Source organism: Homo sapiens, chromosome 2, assembly GCF_000001405.40.
Source record: "Homo sapiens chromosome 2, GRCh38.p14 Primary Assembly".
NCBI lineage: Eukaryota > Metazoa > Chordata > Mammalia > Primates > Hominidae > Homo > Homo sapiens.
This window is the reverse complement of record NC_000002.12, coordinates 33,418,516-33,434,130: the sequence shown is the minus strand read 5'-3', so window position 1 is coordinate 33,434,130 and position 15,615 is coordinate 33,418,516. Positions and strand designations below refer to the sequence as shown.

Sequence of the window (15,615 nt, the reverse complement as noted above, 5' to 3'; positions counted from 1 at the left end):
GTGTATTGAAAGAGCTAGAAAGTACATGAGTTGACTTTGGCAAGAAAATGGCTGGCAGTGGGGTAATATGTTTTTGAGAGCAAACCGTGCTCCCATGTGAGAAGAATGAATGCTTCTAAGAAACTCCAAGTACATTTACTAGGCTTCTTTCATTGTCCTCTGGAAATATTCCTTCTATTTTTTGTGGGGAAGTATTTTACTTGTCAAAAAGAACAACGTCACAGAACTCCCCGTATTGCCCATCTCTAGAAATGAATCATTCAAACGTCTATGGGAACAACAAGGCTCTGTATTCTTAATCTAAAATTAATGACAGACTCTCTCAAAAGGCATAGTGGGAAAAAGTCAAAGGCCTTGTTAGGAAAGATAATGTGTGACATTCTTCAATTATTTTGGTTCTGTCAGTGGAGGAAAATACGGTTTTTAAAATTGAAGTCCCTTAAAAAGTTTTCAATATATAAAATATAGAGAAAACCTAAGCAAAAGTTCTCAAAGAAAACGCAAAAAAGAGTCTGCATATTATTGCTTAACTGAGATGAATGCACTTATGTATCTGAGCCTGTATGTCCCATAGGTATTTTTAATAATAGCTTATCTTTATCCCCAAAGTGCAGAAGCTCTAGATAATGACCAAATTGTGGGCTATGAACTGTGTTCCTTTGACTTGAATTGTTGCATCATACTAATGAAAATAAGTCAAAACTGCTAGAATAACCACTCAAAAGAACACAGGTTAAGGATGGCTCTCTAAATCACAGCAGGAATAATGAAAAGGTGGTTGAAAGTTAGGAAGGACTTCTCCATCTTAAAAATAAAATATAAGAGTTACCAACTCTTTGAAAGAGCTAGAAGACTTAGTGGGATAGAAAAAAAGCTTTTCCATTAATTTAATTGAAGTTGATTTGTGTTCATCAGTAGTTTATTTAGACTGATTCTCAGCAAACATAATGTTAAAGTTACCTTGCAAATTAGAAAACTCTTGGCACAAATAAAACAGTGCACAATATCTCCCAAGAGAAGCCCAGCCTTGGTAAAGTTCAGTTGGAAAATCTAAACCAGACTACCTTCCCTGCACTAGACTTTGGTTTCTGTTGGTATTCTGTCACTCTGCCATGCACCTAAAATAAAACAGCATGAGTTTTTGTGTAACAACAACAACAAAAAAGACAACTTGAGACTCGCCGATAATAAAATCTAGAGCTAGTTCAGTTTTGTTGAAGCTAAAATCTGATGTCATAATAACTAAAGGAAATTCTAATTGGTGTTATGGTAAAAGTTTTCCTACTAATTCTGAAACACAGACTCTCATTTTGCTGTTTCTGCTAGTTGTATATTCCTTTGGGAAATGCCTTTGGACTCAGCGCTAAGGTTGTTTGTGAAGCTTTGGAGGCAAAGAAGAAGCAAAACCATCACTGGAAGTAAAATACACAGGAAACAAAACAGACCGTGGTAGAGACAGCTCATGGCACCCATCTGAAGGCAAAAGGAACTACCATGGGCGCCGACAGCACGCGCACCTAAATATTAGCTGATTGTGTGCAGTATTTGTAAGGAAGGAAGGAAGAAACGAGGGGAGAGAGCAGGGCAATGGAACTGATTTATCCAACAACAATTAAACTTTTCATTTTGGCAGTCACTGTAGTCGAGTAAAAAGCCAAGCAGTAGGTTGGTTACTGAATTAATAGTCTATACAGGTTCCTTACTTATACAATAGATTAGTTCGAACTCACAATGGGGTCAATATACTCCATACTCCCCTGAAACACATAATTATGCAATTGAGTTTATATTAAGACTGGCAAGGTGAACACAACCATCAGCTTTATAATTCTAACAAATTGTAGGGTGCAAATTCACACTGGTTAGATGAAGCAAGTTAAAAACAACTGAGTATTCAGAATGACCAAGAAAATCTCTCTTCGTTGCTGCCACTGAAGAAGCCAGCTGCCTATGAAGAAGACCACTTGGTAAAGAACTGAGGGTAGCTTCCCTCCAACAGCCACCAAGAAACTGAAGCCCTTTAGTTTGACAGCCTGCAAGGAACTGAACGTTGCCAATAACCACATGAGCTTGGAAGCACATCATTCCCCAGTCGAGCCTCAGATGACCAAAGTTCCAGCTAATACCTTCTTGCAGCCTTTTAAGACCATGAGGCAGTGACCCAGCTAATCCATGTCTGGCTAAGCCAGCTATAGGAGAGGAGCTCCTATCAAGATGATTTGCAGTCTTATGTAAGGTAATCATGTACATGTGATCCTGGACACTCAAGTCACCTTTGCTGCATTCAGCTGGCTAGAAGCAAGTCACAAGTCCTTCCTGTGATCAGGTGAGGGATCAAGGCTGTGACTACCAAGAGTGGGATTGTGAGGGCCCCCTGTTTTCTGTCTGACACAATGGATGACTGACCTAGAAAGAAGAAAGTAGACATACAGACCATCCTGGCTAACACAGTGGAACCCCATCTCTACTAAAAATACAAAAAATTAGCTGGGCATGGTGATGGGCACCTGTAGTCCCAGCTACCTGGGAGGCTGAGGCAGGAGAATGGTGTGAACCCGGGAGGCGGAGCTTGCAGTGAGCTGAGATCGCGCCACTGCACTCCAGCCTGAGCGACAGAGTGAGACTCCGTCTCAAAAAAACAAGCAAACAAACAAAAAAGAAAGTAGACATCATACACCAGGTGGTTAATATAGGACAGTTAGGGACAGTGCTACCCAAAGGTAAAATAGACAAAACAACTTAAGTTTTCTTCTTTCAAACCAGTGGGAAGTGCACTGCCTTGAGAAAGATCAGGGCATCTCTCTACCGTTACACAAGCTTGAGCAACTCAGGGACCTAAATGTCCTCATGCTCTATCTTTGAGGTCCTTTCAGTGCTAAGCTTCTGTGACCTCAGACCTTCCTTTCCAAGCCTCTCAAGACATTTTGGAATGCCACAAATTCTGGCTGTATTCATACAAAGTGCTGTGATAACCAGTGTGTCACTGTTGACATCTTTATAGAACAATACTGAGGAGAAAGAAAACATTTAATAGATCAGTCCTCTAGAGAAGTTAAAAGTCAAATCCATTACGGTGTTACCCTCTGATCCAATTTTTGATTTTCCATTTGTTTATATTTCTAAAGCATGATGTCATATAAAAAATACACAAGACAAAACCACTATAAACTTCACTTTTTACAGGCAAATTTGGGGCTAAAAATTATGTTCTATGTGGGGAGCAAACTACATTTCACATCCAAGTAATATTGAGTACATCAAGAAGTTACTTTGGCAGTGTAAACTCACATCCTCAGGATTAGAAAGGGCTTTCAAAGTCATCTTTTTAGCCACCTATCTGACAGGCAAATATCTTCCAGAACATGAAGAACAAATTATCTTATTATTTCTAAGTAGAAACTGATAGACTGTCATTATACTTCCTTGTGATGTCATAAACGTAAATGACTCTGTTAAAAATAAAATTATGAATTTAATCTACATAAGGCGAATCCAAACGCTTGCTCAATATATCAGTGAGCTCTTTCTTCAGGCAAAACATTAAGTTCTAAAGTATATGGAATTTTAAACATATATTCACAGTTATTCTTCTGTGGACAGACTACACAATGACATTATAAATATTCTCTAATACCTCATTAAGAACACAGATTAAAAGCTGTAAATCAGGTTGAAACTAGGCAGGCTTAATTTCCATTTAGAGGCTGAAGAGGACGAAAAGTTTAAGAAGGAAATGACTTTTTAGAGCTATATGAGATCAGAGCATCTAAGAGTCTAGATTTAAAACACTAAGCACTAAAGTCACATTCTTGGAACTCGTATCATGTTGTAGCTCCTTAATATACAGCCTGCTCAAATATCAAGTATTAATGTGCAATTAATTCTGAAAGAAACCACGTGCTACAAATTGTATTTTATTTGGACAATGAGGCCAGCACAATTCTTTTTTATAAACTGTATTTTTTCAACCCCATGTAAGTCCCTACTAAGTACAAAGCTCTGAGCTTGAGCCATAAGAAAAGAAATAAAATTAAACATTTGGCCTTTCCCCCCAAAAGAAGCATACTTTCTAAAGCAGAATTTCTCAAGTCATGGTCCAATGACAGCCTGTATAAGAGTAATGTAGAGAGGGCCGGGCATGGTGGCTCATGCCTGTAATCCCAGCACTTGGGGAGGCCAAGGCGGGTGAATCACAAGGTCAGGAGGTCAAGACCATCGTGGCCAACATGGTGATACCTTGTCTCTACTAAAATACAAAAAATTAGCTGGGTGTGGTGGTGTTCATCCGTAATCCCAGCTACTTGGGAGGCTGAGGCAGAAGAATCACTGGAACCCAGGAAGTGGAGGTTGCAGGCAGCTGAGATCGTGCCACCATACTCCAGCCTAGGTGACAGAGTGAGACTCCGTCTCAAGAAGAAAAAAAAAAAAAAAGAGTAATGTAGGGAGTTTATTGAACGTGGAGATTTCTGAGCACAGTACTCTAGCCTAGGTGACAAAGCGAGACTCCATCTCAAGAAAAAAAAAAAAAGAGTAATGTAGAGAGTTTATTGAACATGCAGAATTCTGAGCCTTGGCACCAGAAGATTGCTGGTTTAGTAGGTCTAGGGTAAGCCTTGGAATACGCATTTATAATAAGCCTGTGATTCTTATTGTACACTGAAGTTTGAGAGCCAATTATAAGGTGTCATTGGGGTGACCCAGAGGTAAAAACACATCTTTTAAACTAATACAACAGAGTACCCAAAGGAACAGGTTATGCAAGTATTGAGTGAATTCTGATTATAGCTGTAGCCAACATCAACGTTCCATATTGGAATACACGTTATGGTGTAAACTTTCTTAGAGTCTGTTCTAATTTGTCCTAATAGTAGCAAATTTATTTTGAGTTTCCTAGAAAAGGTCTGAATGGAGGGACCATTTCTCTTCCCGAGTGCATTAAAATTTTTTTTTGCATTTTAAAAATTGTGGTAAAATATACCTAACATAAAATGTACTATTTTAATCATTTCTAAGTATACAGTTCAGTAGTGTTAAATATATTCACATTGTTGTGAAGCAGATATCTGGGACTTTTTTTTTTTTTCATCTTGTAAAACTGAAACTCAATATCCTTGAAACAACAATTCCTCTTTTTTCCCTCCCTGTAGCTGCTGACAACCACTATTCTACTTTTTGTTTGTATGATGAATGGCCCATTTAAAAAACCCAATACATGACAATGTGTCAGGTACGCGAAAAAGGAAGAAGAACTGAGTATAAACATCAAAATCAGGGGGTTTGGTTTAAGAAATGAGATCAGGTCGGTCACGGTGGCTCACACCTGTAATCCCAGCACTTTGGGAGGCCGAGGCGGGTGGATCACGAGGTCAGGAAATCGAGACCATCCTGGCTAACACAGTGAAACCCCGTCTCTACTAAAAATACAAAAAAAAAAAAAAAAAAAAAAAAAAAAAAAAAAAAATTAGCCAGGCATGGTGGCGGGGGCCTGCAGTCCCAGCTACTCAGGAGGCTGAGGCAGGAGAATGGCATGAACCCGGGAGGCGGAGCTTGCAGTGAGCCGAGATGGCGCCACTGCACTCCAGCCTGGGCGACAGAACGAGACTCCGTCTCAAAAAAAAAAAAAAAAAAAAAAAAAGAGATCATAAAGCCGAAAGGTGTAAAGCAAAGACACTTGGATGTATAAGTAGAGGTGTTTTTCAGAAATGAGTTGATACAGTTTGATCATCTGGCTATGGGAAGTGGGTATCAGGTAGATGTGTTTTCTAAAGCCAGGATATGAACTACAGGTCACTATCAGATATCAGATCGAATTCCTATATCGTTGATGGATTGTGATTAAAGTAGATGGGAAGTAGGTCAGGGGATAAAGATTAGGGATTATAAAAGGTATTTACCACCACCAAAATTTGTTGCAGATTTGGGAAGTGGGTATACCTATGATAAACCCATCATGATAGTTAACTAGGATTGGATTGGTTGAGGCAGCCCTTCGGGCATTGTGGATTTGGGCACACATATCATAAATATTATGTATCGAAAGGCATCTTACAACCAGGTGCTGTGGCTCACGCCTGTAATCCCAGCACTTTGGGAGGCTGAGGCAGGCGGATCACGAGGTCAGGAGATCGAGACCATCCTGGCTAACATGGTGAAACCCCGTCTCTACTAAAAATACAAAAAATTAGCCGGGCGTGGTGGCCGGCGCCTGTAATCCCAGCTACTCGGGAGGCTGACGCAGGAGAATGGCATGAACCGGAAGGCGGAGCTTGCAGTGAGCCGAGATCGTGCCACTGCACTCCAGCCTGGGCGACAGAGCGAGACTCCGTCTCAAAAAAAAAAAAAAAAAAAAAAAATGCATCTTACAAATGCCAAATCCAGAGCCATTGGAAGTTCTGGAGGGCCACGGTTAATACTTTGGATGGGCCACAGTGACCCAACAAGATTGAGGAGATGGCCTAAAAGAGTTCAAGAAGTTTGATGAAGGTGTCTCCCAAGGTATCAAACTAAGCAATCTGGTGGACGAGACATCTCTTTTACTGTGTGTGCTAGGGTGGAACCTCAGCCAAGTCATGCAATACGAAAGGAAGCATGGAAAAAGTAGAAAGAACGTGTGTTTTGGAGTCAAATCTGGCTTGAAATTAAACTGCCTCTTACCATCTAGGTGACCTTTAAACCATCTTAATATTATATTAATTTCCTCATCTATAGTACATATTAAAACAGTACCTATGTTTTAGCATTAAAGGTAACTATTCAATATACCAGCACAATTGCTAGCCCAAGAGCTTTCAGTAAGTTGTTGTAATGGTTATAACTACGATGATGACAATTGGTCTCCCGCTCTTGCTATCAGAATAGCATGCCAAGCGGTTCCTGTTATTCTGTTATTCTGATGTGCAGGATAGGAGACTTTTTCAGCTACTTTAGCTATCTAGCCCATAATGTATGTGGAATTCAAAGATGGGGCTTGGGGGCAGGCTTATTTCTGCTTTGTTTTAAATGATGCAGACTGAGTCATCATAAGGAATCTGGTCCTTTGAGGTGGTATATTTGTACCCTGAACATGGTTTTAACTATTATCATATTTAATTAAATCTATGGTCTCATTATTTAATGTGCCCTTACAAATGAAAACAAAAACTTTGGGTGCGGCTTGAGGCAACGGGTCCAAGGATGTTAGTCATTCTCAGGCTGGCTCTGTTCATAGTCAAGAGATGGTCATGGCAGCTCCAACCACCCCTCCTCTCACATTCAAATCTAGTATTGAAGAGAGAACACCACATTTCCAGAAGGGCCAGCCAAAGTCTAACTGGCTTTGACTGGATTAAGTTCTGATTGACTTAGGCTGGGCCACGTGCTTCACTGCTGGAGTCAAGAGTTGAGAAGGAATGTTGGCAGGTGTCCAGGGCAGGAGGACTGAAAATGAGAGAAGAGTGAAGTCCCTATGGCTCTAGTCAGCAACCTGCCAATCCCTTGCTGCTTCTGATACTGCATCTGTACAGACTTAAGGTGCTGCACAGTTTTGCTCACAGAACAATAGGGAATATTGCCTTATGTTTTGTGTCCTCAAAAGACCATCATGGTTCCCCAGAATGAAGGGAGTTAGTACAAAAGGTAGTAAGATTTTTACTTCTGGGAACCCAAATCCCCAGAACCTGTCCCTACCCATGAAAAATTATAACGGAGACCCTAATGTGATTCAAGATAACTGACATGATCAAGGATCAGCTTTCTGTGTGTGTGTCTGTGTGTGTGTGAGTCTCGCTCTGTCACCCAGGTTGGAGTGCAGTGGTGCAATCTCGGCTCACTGCAAGCTCTGCCTCCCGGGTTCACACCATTCTCCTGCCTCAGCCTCCCGAGTAGCTGGGACTACAGGCGCCCGCCACCACATCCAGCTAATTATTTGTATTTTTAGTAGAGATGGGGTTTCACTGTGTTAGCCAGGATGGTCTCGATCTCCTGACCTCGTGATCCGCCCGCCTCAGCCTCCCAAAGTGCTGGGATTACAGGCGTAAGCCACCACACCCAGCCAAGGATCAGCTTCTTTTAGTAGTAGACAGAGGGTTAGATGTCAAGAGTGAGGTAGTTTTTTTTAATGAAATGAATCAGTCACAATTCATGGCTGCAAGGGACAAGACATCCCAAATTAACTGGCTTATATGAGAAAGGGGAATTTTATGAACTCATTAACTAAACTTTAGGAGAACAAAGGTGGAGGAGCATTAGGATGTCTGGAGCCAACACAGAGCACCATCATGACTCATTTCCTCTAGCTTTCATCTCTACTTCACACTCAGACTGGATTCTTCATGAGACTAGAAATGGGTCTCTTCTGGACTCACAACCACACAGCCTTCACAGAGAGGAATGGGGCCCCCTCATTCCACCTCCAGTGAGAAAACTCTTAAGGCAGGACTCAGATTGGGTTGGGTAATATGCCCAGCTCTTGTAACAATCACTGTGACCAGAAGTAATACAACTGGCCCAGCCCACATCTCCTGACCATGACCAAAGTCAAAGAGGCTGCGTGTGGGAGAGGAAGGTAGGAAGGGTCTGGACAGACAAAGAAATGGAGATCTAGAATGTGCTTCCCACTCCTATCCAGATACCAAAGGCACTGATTCTAAAGATGAGGGAAAAGCCTAGATCAAGGTAAGCCAAAATAAAGATGAAGAACTTACAGTTCTCAGAATTCTGGTCTGGTGGTTAGCCAAAGATCGCTCTTCTCCCTTTTGTTGTATGGTTAGCAGGACATGAAAAGTGGGAAATTGGCACCAAAGTTCTGGGCCTAGAAAACCTCAGGAATTCACTGATGACAAACAGGGAGCTTCTTCTTCAGATCTGGGGATAACAAGGCTAGAATCTTTAGCTGCCCTTGCTAAACATAAATTAGCTCAGGTATTCCACTTCTGTTTTTCTAAAATGATATTTTTCAGGGTTAGTCTATGGAAGATGCTATTGCAAATTGGATGGAGAACACACATGCCAAGAGTTCATATGATTTAGGGCCAAACACCAGTTTTCTCAAAATAGGGGCAACATGAAGATGTCTATATTCTCTAGAAAAAAATATTTAATTTTGGATGTTATTTAAATAATGACAGTCTTTATAAAGAATTAATATACAGGCCGGGCGTGGTGGCTCATGCCTGTAATCCCAGCTCTTTGGGAGGTCGAGGCACATGGATCACGAGGTCAGGAGTTCAAGACCAGCCTGGCTAACACACAGTGAAACCCCATCTCTACTAAAAATACAAAAATTAGCCAGGTGTGGTGGCATGTGCCTGTAGTCCCAGCTACTCAGGAGGCTGAGGCTGGAGAACCACTTGAACCTGGGAGGTGGAGGCTGCAGTGAGCCAAGATCGTGCCACTGACTCCAGCCTGGGTGACAGAGAGAGACTCTGCCTCAAAAAAAAAAAAAAAAAAAAAAAAAAAAAAAAAAAGAATTAATGGCCAGGCGTGGTGGCTCACGCCTGTAATCCCAGCACTTTGGGAGGCCGAGGTGGGCAGATCATGAGATCAGGAGATCGAGACCATCCTGGCTAACACGGTGAAACCCGGTCTCTACTAAAAATACCAAAAAAAAAAAAAAATTAGCCGGGCGTGGTGGCGGGTGCCTGTAGTCCCAGCTACTTGGGAGGCTGAGGCAGGAGAATGGCGTGAACCTGGGAGGCAGAGCTTGCAGTGAGCCCAGATTGCGCCACTGCACTCCAGCCTGGGCGACAGAGAGAGACTCCATCTCAAAAAAAAAAAAAGCATTAATATACAAATATTTGGATCATCTGATCACCACCTTTTAACCAAATGTTGTCATGTGATTTGAGAGAATAAATTTATGTAAGTAAATAAGTAGAGGACACGTTTGTACCCAGAAAATGAATCAGTGGAGAACTGTACGAACCAAAATTTATAATATTTAGAAGACAGAACAGTGATTAAAGAAGCAAGACAGACTTTGAAGAAAGTGCACCACAGCAGACAGTGCAACTCATATGAGTGCAGGACAATTTAATCTTAAAAAATGTCATCTGTCACCTTAAATTAATGCTATTCATTTAAATATATTCATTTCACTGTTTCATTTGCATGTAATTGGTATTTGTTTTGGTTTGTACTCGCAAAGGAACAATAAACATAGGGAGTTCATGTTTTATGTTTGAATATGTAAGTAACAATAAAAAGGAATAGTTCAGCAGTGGGAAGTCACAAGGAGAATTTTTAGGCTGAATGTTTATAATGGGATGACTATGGTACCCCAAAATTCATGTTCATCTACAACCTCAGAATATGACTTTATTTGGAAATAGAATATTTGCAGATGTAATTAGTTGAGGATCTGAAGTAGAAGTTATACTAGATTTAAGGTGGGACCTAAATCCAATTACTGGTGTTCTTATGAGAAGAGGAGAGGGCATACGGACATACACAGAAAAGAAGGCCATGTAAAGACAAAGGAAAAGACTGGAGTGATGTGGCTACACTTCAAGGAACATCAAGGAATACCTGGAGCCGCCATAAGTTAGAAAGAGGCAAGGAAGGATTCTCCTGTAGGACCTTTAAAGGGAGCACAGTCCTGCCAACATCTTGATTTCAGACTTCTGGCCTTCAATATTGTGAGAACACATTTCTGCTGAGTTAAGGCATCCAGTTTGTGGTCATTTGTCCCCACTGCCCTAGCCCTATGGCAGTTCCTAACAACTACACAATCAAGGTTTACAGGTTGCCAAGAAAGAGATGCCCTCAGCTCTGTGGAAAGCAGGATGGGGTTTAAGGTCAGTTGACTCCCAGTAAAGCAGAATCTTCTTTTTACCCAGTAGGCCACACACCTATTATTTGGATATATTTTTAAAAGTATGGGCATGTGAAAAGCATTTGGAAGCTCCTCACAATAGTTCTCTGCAAGCACGGTATCATGCAGGTCCATGAGTTTTCACAGTATACCACTTACTGGCATTCACAAAACTGCAGGGACAATGCAAAGGCCACACTCATTATCAGACAGAGAGACACACCTACGATGTGACTTTTTTTTTTTTTTGAGACGGAATCTCGCTCTGTCGCCCAGGCTGGAGTGCAGTAGTGTGATCTCGGCTCACTGCAAACTCTGCCTCCCGGGTTCACGCCATTCTCCTGCCTCAGCCTCCAGAGTAGCTGGGACTATAGGCGCCCGCCACCACGCCCAGCTAATTTTTTTTTTTTTTTTTTGTATTTTTAGTAGAGATGGGGTTTCGCCCTGTTAGCCAGGATGGTCTCCATTTCCTGACCTCGTGATCCACCCACCTCGGCCTCCCAAAGTGCTGGGATTACAGGCGTGAGCCACCGTGCCCGGCCCGATGTGACTTTTCATTTATTGCTGTGGCTTTTTGCCTCTGTCTTTGTTCAGGCTGCTATAATAAAATATCAAAATCTGGGTAGCTTATAAACAACAAAAATTTATTTCTCACACTCCTAGAGGCTAGGAAGGGGATGCCTACAGATTTGGTGTCTGGTGAGGGCCTGCTTTCTCATAGATGGAACCTTCCTGCTGCATCTTCACATGGTGGAAGGGACAAGGCAGCTCCTTGGGGCCTCTTTTATAAATGCACTAATCCCATTCATGAGGGTAGAGGCCTCAGGACCTCATCACGTCTCAAAGTCCCCACCTTCTAATCCCATCACTTTGGTGATTAGGTTTCAACATATGAATCTGAGGGAGACACAACCATTCAGACCACAGGTCACCTCAAGATCTAGACCATGTTCCCTGCCTTCTAAAGATACAATTTCATGTATCTGTGGACCAGGTGCCAAAGAGTAGTTACAGGCATCAGGGATAAGACAATGGATACAAGTGTGGAGAAGAACTATCTTAGATGCAGTGGGTGGTTGGGAAGAGTTGTTGTTCGTATTCATTAAAAAGAACATTGGTTCTTCCAGGGGGGAGGTGGAGAGTCTTATTAACAGTCAACACAAGTTGTGTCAGTGGAGTTGTGGAAGTCTTAGGCTCAAAAATCAAGCACACCCATGCAGCAAAAACATGCCTCCTAACTGCTGTGTAACACTGTGAGGATGCTCTCCTGGTGCACATCATCTCCATGATGCAAGCCTCCCGGAAATAATTGCTAAGGATCTCAAGGTTAATAAGGAGCAGGAATGTGGTAAGGATCTCAGGGTTGATAAGGAGCAGGAATGTGGTAAGGATCTCAAAGTTGTTAGGAACAGGAAAGGCAGGGAAGTATATGGAGGTCTGAGGTCTGTACGTTTGCTAATAGGTCATTAGGCTTCTTTAGCCATGGCTTGATTTTTTTTTTTTTTTTCTTGAGACAGTGTCTCACTCTGTCACCCAGGCTGGAGTGCAGTGGTGCGATCTTGGCTCACTGCAACCTCCACCTCCCAGGTTCGAGCTATTCTCCTGCCTCAGCCTCTCGAGTAGCTGGGATTACAGGCATGCATCACCACGCCTGGCTTATTTTTGTATTTTTAGTAGAGACGGGATTTCCCCATATTGGCCAGGCTGGTCTCGAACTCCTGACCTCAGGTGATCCGCCCGCCTCGGCCTCCTAAAGTGCTGGGATTACAGGAGTGAGCCACCGCACCTGGCCACCATGGCTTGATTTTTAAAACATCATAGTGGCCCAAATAATGGCACCAATAGGTGACCTGTGTAGGCTTTTGGCACCCATGACATCCACTGGCCTCCACCCCTGAAGTTATCCCAAATAAACATACACTCAAAGTAAAATAGGATTTGTGTTATATGAAAGCAGCTTCCAGGCAAACTCCTTAGCTCCCCTTCCCAACCCACTTGTTACTCCCAAGCCATATACAGAAATCTGGTGCTACCACTCATACCTCTAATTCTATCATGGCTCAAACCTGTAGGAAGGCACCAGTTGCTCTGATCTTCATGAATGGAGCCTGATCAGCCTCATTTTCCCAGTAGTGGATGTTTGCTGCTCAGGCCAGACCCCATATTTGATGTGATATGCCCCAGCATAATACATGGACAGTTATGTGCCCTCCTGGAGGTGCCAGCAGAGAGTGGCGAATATAACCAGCTGCAGTGGCTTGCGGTCTGCCCCAGAGCTTTGTAGATTTGACATGGAAATTAACTCTTCAGGCAACAATCCTAAAAGGTCTTCCTGGGACCAGTCAGGAAGCACCGATGATTGTATCTCTGATCCTGGACCAGCATGAGGACTGTAGTGTCCAGGCTGAATGTCCCTTCTTTCTATTGTTTTACATATTCATGTGCAGGAAGGAGAGCATGCCACATAGTATAGTCAGGAATCCTGCCTGTTTGAAAGAGTATAATTCTAGATATGAGAAAAACAATGGTTCAGAGTTTCCCACAAACCCTAAGCCAGAGGTGCCGCTTGTGGTTTTCAAAGTGCTTGCAAATTCTTTGACACTCTTCCCATCAAATAGTAGAGTTTATGTTCCCTCCTGTTGAACTTGGGTGGGCTTTTGTAACCGCCTTGATGAACAGAATGTGGCAGAAGTGAGGATAATTCTGAGTGAAGTTAGACATACAGCTTCTCCTGGCTTCTCTGGGGAGAACTGCTCTGTGGGGCATGGGCTTCCATGTACAAATCAAGATACTCTGAAAAGGACCACTTGGAGAGTCTAAATAAGTAGACAGATACCTAAGGAGCCCCAGTTGTTCCTATCCCCAGCTTCTTGAGTCTTCCCGGCCCAGGTGCCAGAGCTTTCAAGATGACCCCAGCCTCATCCACCACGTGACTACAGCCTCATGAGAGACCTCAACCCAGCTCAGCCAACCTGCTTCCTAATTTCCGATGCCTTGAAACCATAAAAGACAACAACTGCTTGTTCTCGTTTCAAGCCTTTACAATTTAGGGTGATTTGCTATGCAACATTAAATAACAAGACCACAGCCTGAGTAAATGAAGCTGCTGAAGGGAGCCCAAGAGAAACTCGGAATTACCTCCAAATTTCTCTGAAGAAAGGATTCGAGGTAAGGAAAAGATCTGCAGCTGCTTGTAAGGCAGATCATCTGTCTTCACCATGCTGAAAGAGCAAGGTGGACTCCTGCTTGAAGAGCACTGTAACTTACTCATGCAGTAATGTGGAATCAGGAAAGGAAAGTGATAGTAACAATTTGCTTACAATTGCCAGGGCAAGGGCAGAGACTTGGAGAACACAGTGGGAAATGAATGGTAAATATGTCATTCTCTACTGGAGGCAGGAGTGGGAAGTAATTAGCTGGGGAGGAGTGGGAGCTGGCTAAGGTCAGAAACAGTGACCTTACAGCATTATTATCTTTCAAATTCAAATACACTTCTATACCTCGCTTTGGGTTGCTGGGACAGAAACTGCAAACGACATTTCTATTTTTCCAGCCAGATACCTTTCAGGCTCTTTAGGGGGTGGTAGAGGGAGCCTGCAAGGCTGGAGGAAGAAGAGAGAATTTGCTGCCTCCTGTCTACTTCTTATTCCTGTGATGTCACCTGAGCAAAGCTTCTTCAAATGGGCAGAGGCACGGCCTTCTCACAGCAGCAGCTGAATCTGCTTTTCAATTTTGTCCCATTTATAAAACACGCTCCTTTGTACCCACTCAGAGACATTAACCCCAGCCAGCCAGTACCAACTCCTCAGAAAATTTGAGTCTCCAAGACTCCTACTCTACGTTTCCAAGTTTAATAATTCCAATCTCTTCCCTCTTTTCCCTCAGTTGAAAGGGTGGTAGCTGATGACTGCAGTTGCCACTTACCTCTGTGATACTTTAGAGATCTTTTTTCCCTTCTCAGTTACCTAGCTAATGGCTTTTTACCTAGTTGCAATTCTTCATATTAAAATTTTCCTTTTCCTTTACCTGGTGTGGCTTCTGTCTGCTGAATGGATCCTGACTAATAAAAGGTATTTCTTCCAAAGAAAAATCTATGATGGTAACTGAGGTTGGGGGTAACTGAAGGTTCAAATAGCAGGGAGATCAAGTTCAAATACCAAATGCAAAGACCACAGACAGAATTTGAAAGAGTGACCACAAAGTTAGGAGGTTGAAGGTGGGCAGAGACATAAGCAAAATAAGAGTAGGACTGGAACAAGATAGAAGGCTTAGGGTGATTGCTATGGAGGTGGAAATTATCAACCCATCCACCTACCCGCTACCCTCCCCCAGTCAGTAGGATGGGTAAAGCTGATTTAAAAACCTCAGGCAAGGCCAGGCGCGGTGGCTCACGCCTGTAATCCCAGCACTTTGGGAGGCCAAGGTGGGCAGATCGTGAGGTCAGGAGGTTGAGACCATCCTGGCTAACATGGTAAAACTCTGTCTCTACTAAAAATACAAAAAATTAGCCAGGCATGGTGGCATGCGCCTGTAGTCCCAGCTACTCGGGAGGCTGAGGCAGGAGAATCACTTGAACCTGGGAGGTGGAGGTTGCAGTGAGCCGAGATCGTGCCACCGCACTCAAGCCTGGGCGACAAAGCGAGATTCTGCCTCAAAAAAAAAAAAAAAAAAAAATCTCAGGCAAAAGTGGACATTACTTGTCTAGATTTGGGGTTGATGAGGGTTTTTTATTGGAGGTGGGAGTCGTTTTGTTTTTTTGAGACAAGGTCTCCCTTTGTCACCAGGTTGGAGTGCAGTGGTACGATCTCCGCTCACTCCAGCCTCAC

At 42.8% G+C, this 15,615-nt stretch overlaps 1 non-coding gene across 1 annotated transcript; it reads right to left on the bottom strand.

The window, feature by feature from the left end:
* MIR4430 (microRNA 4430) lies at positions 15,567-15,615 on the bottom strand. Its single transcript, NR_039628.1, has one exon. It is a non-coding gene; the product is annotated as a microRNA 4430 (primary transcript).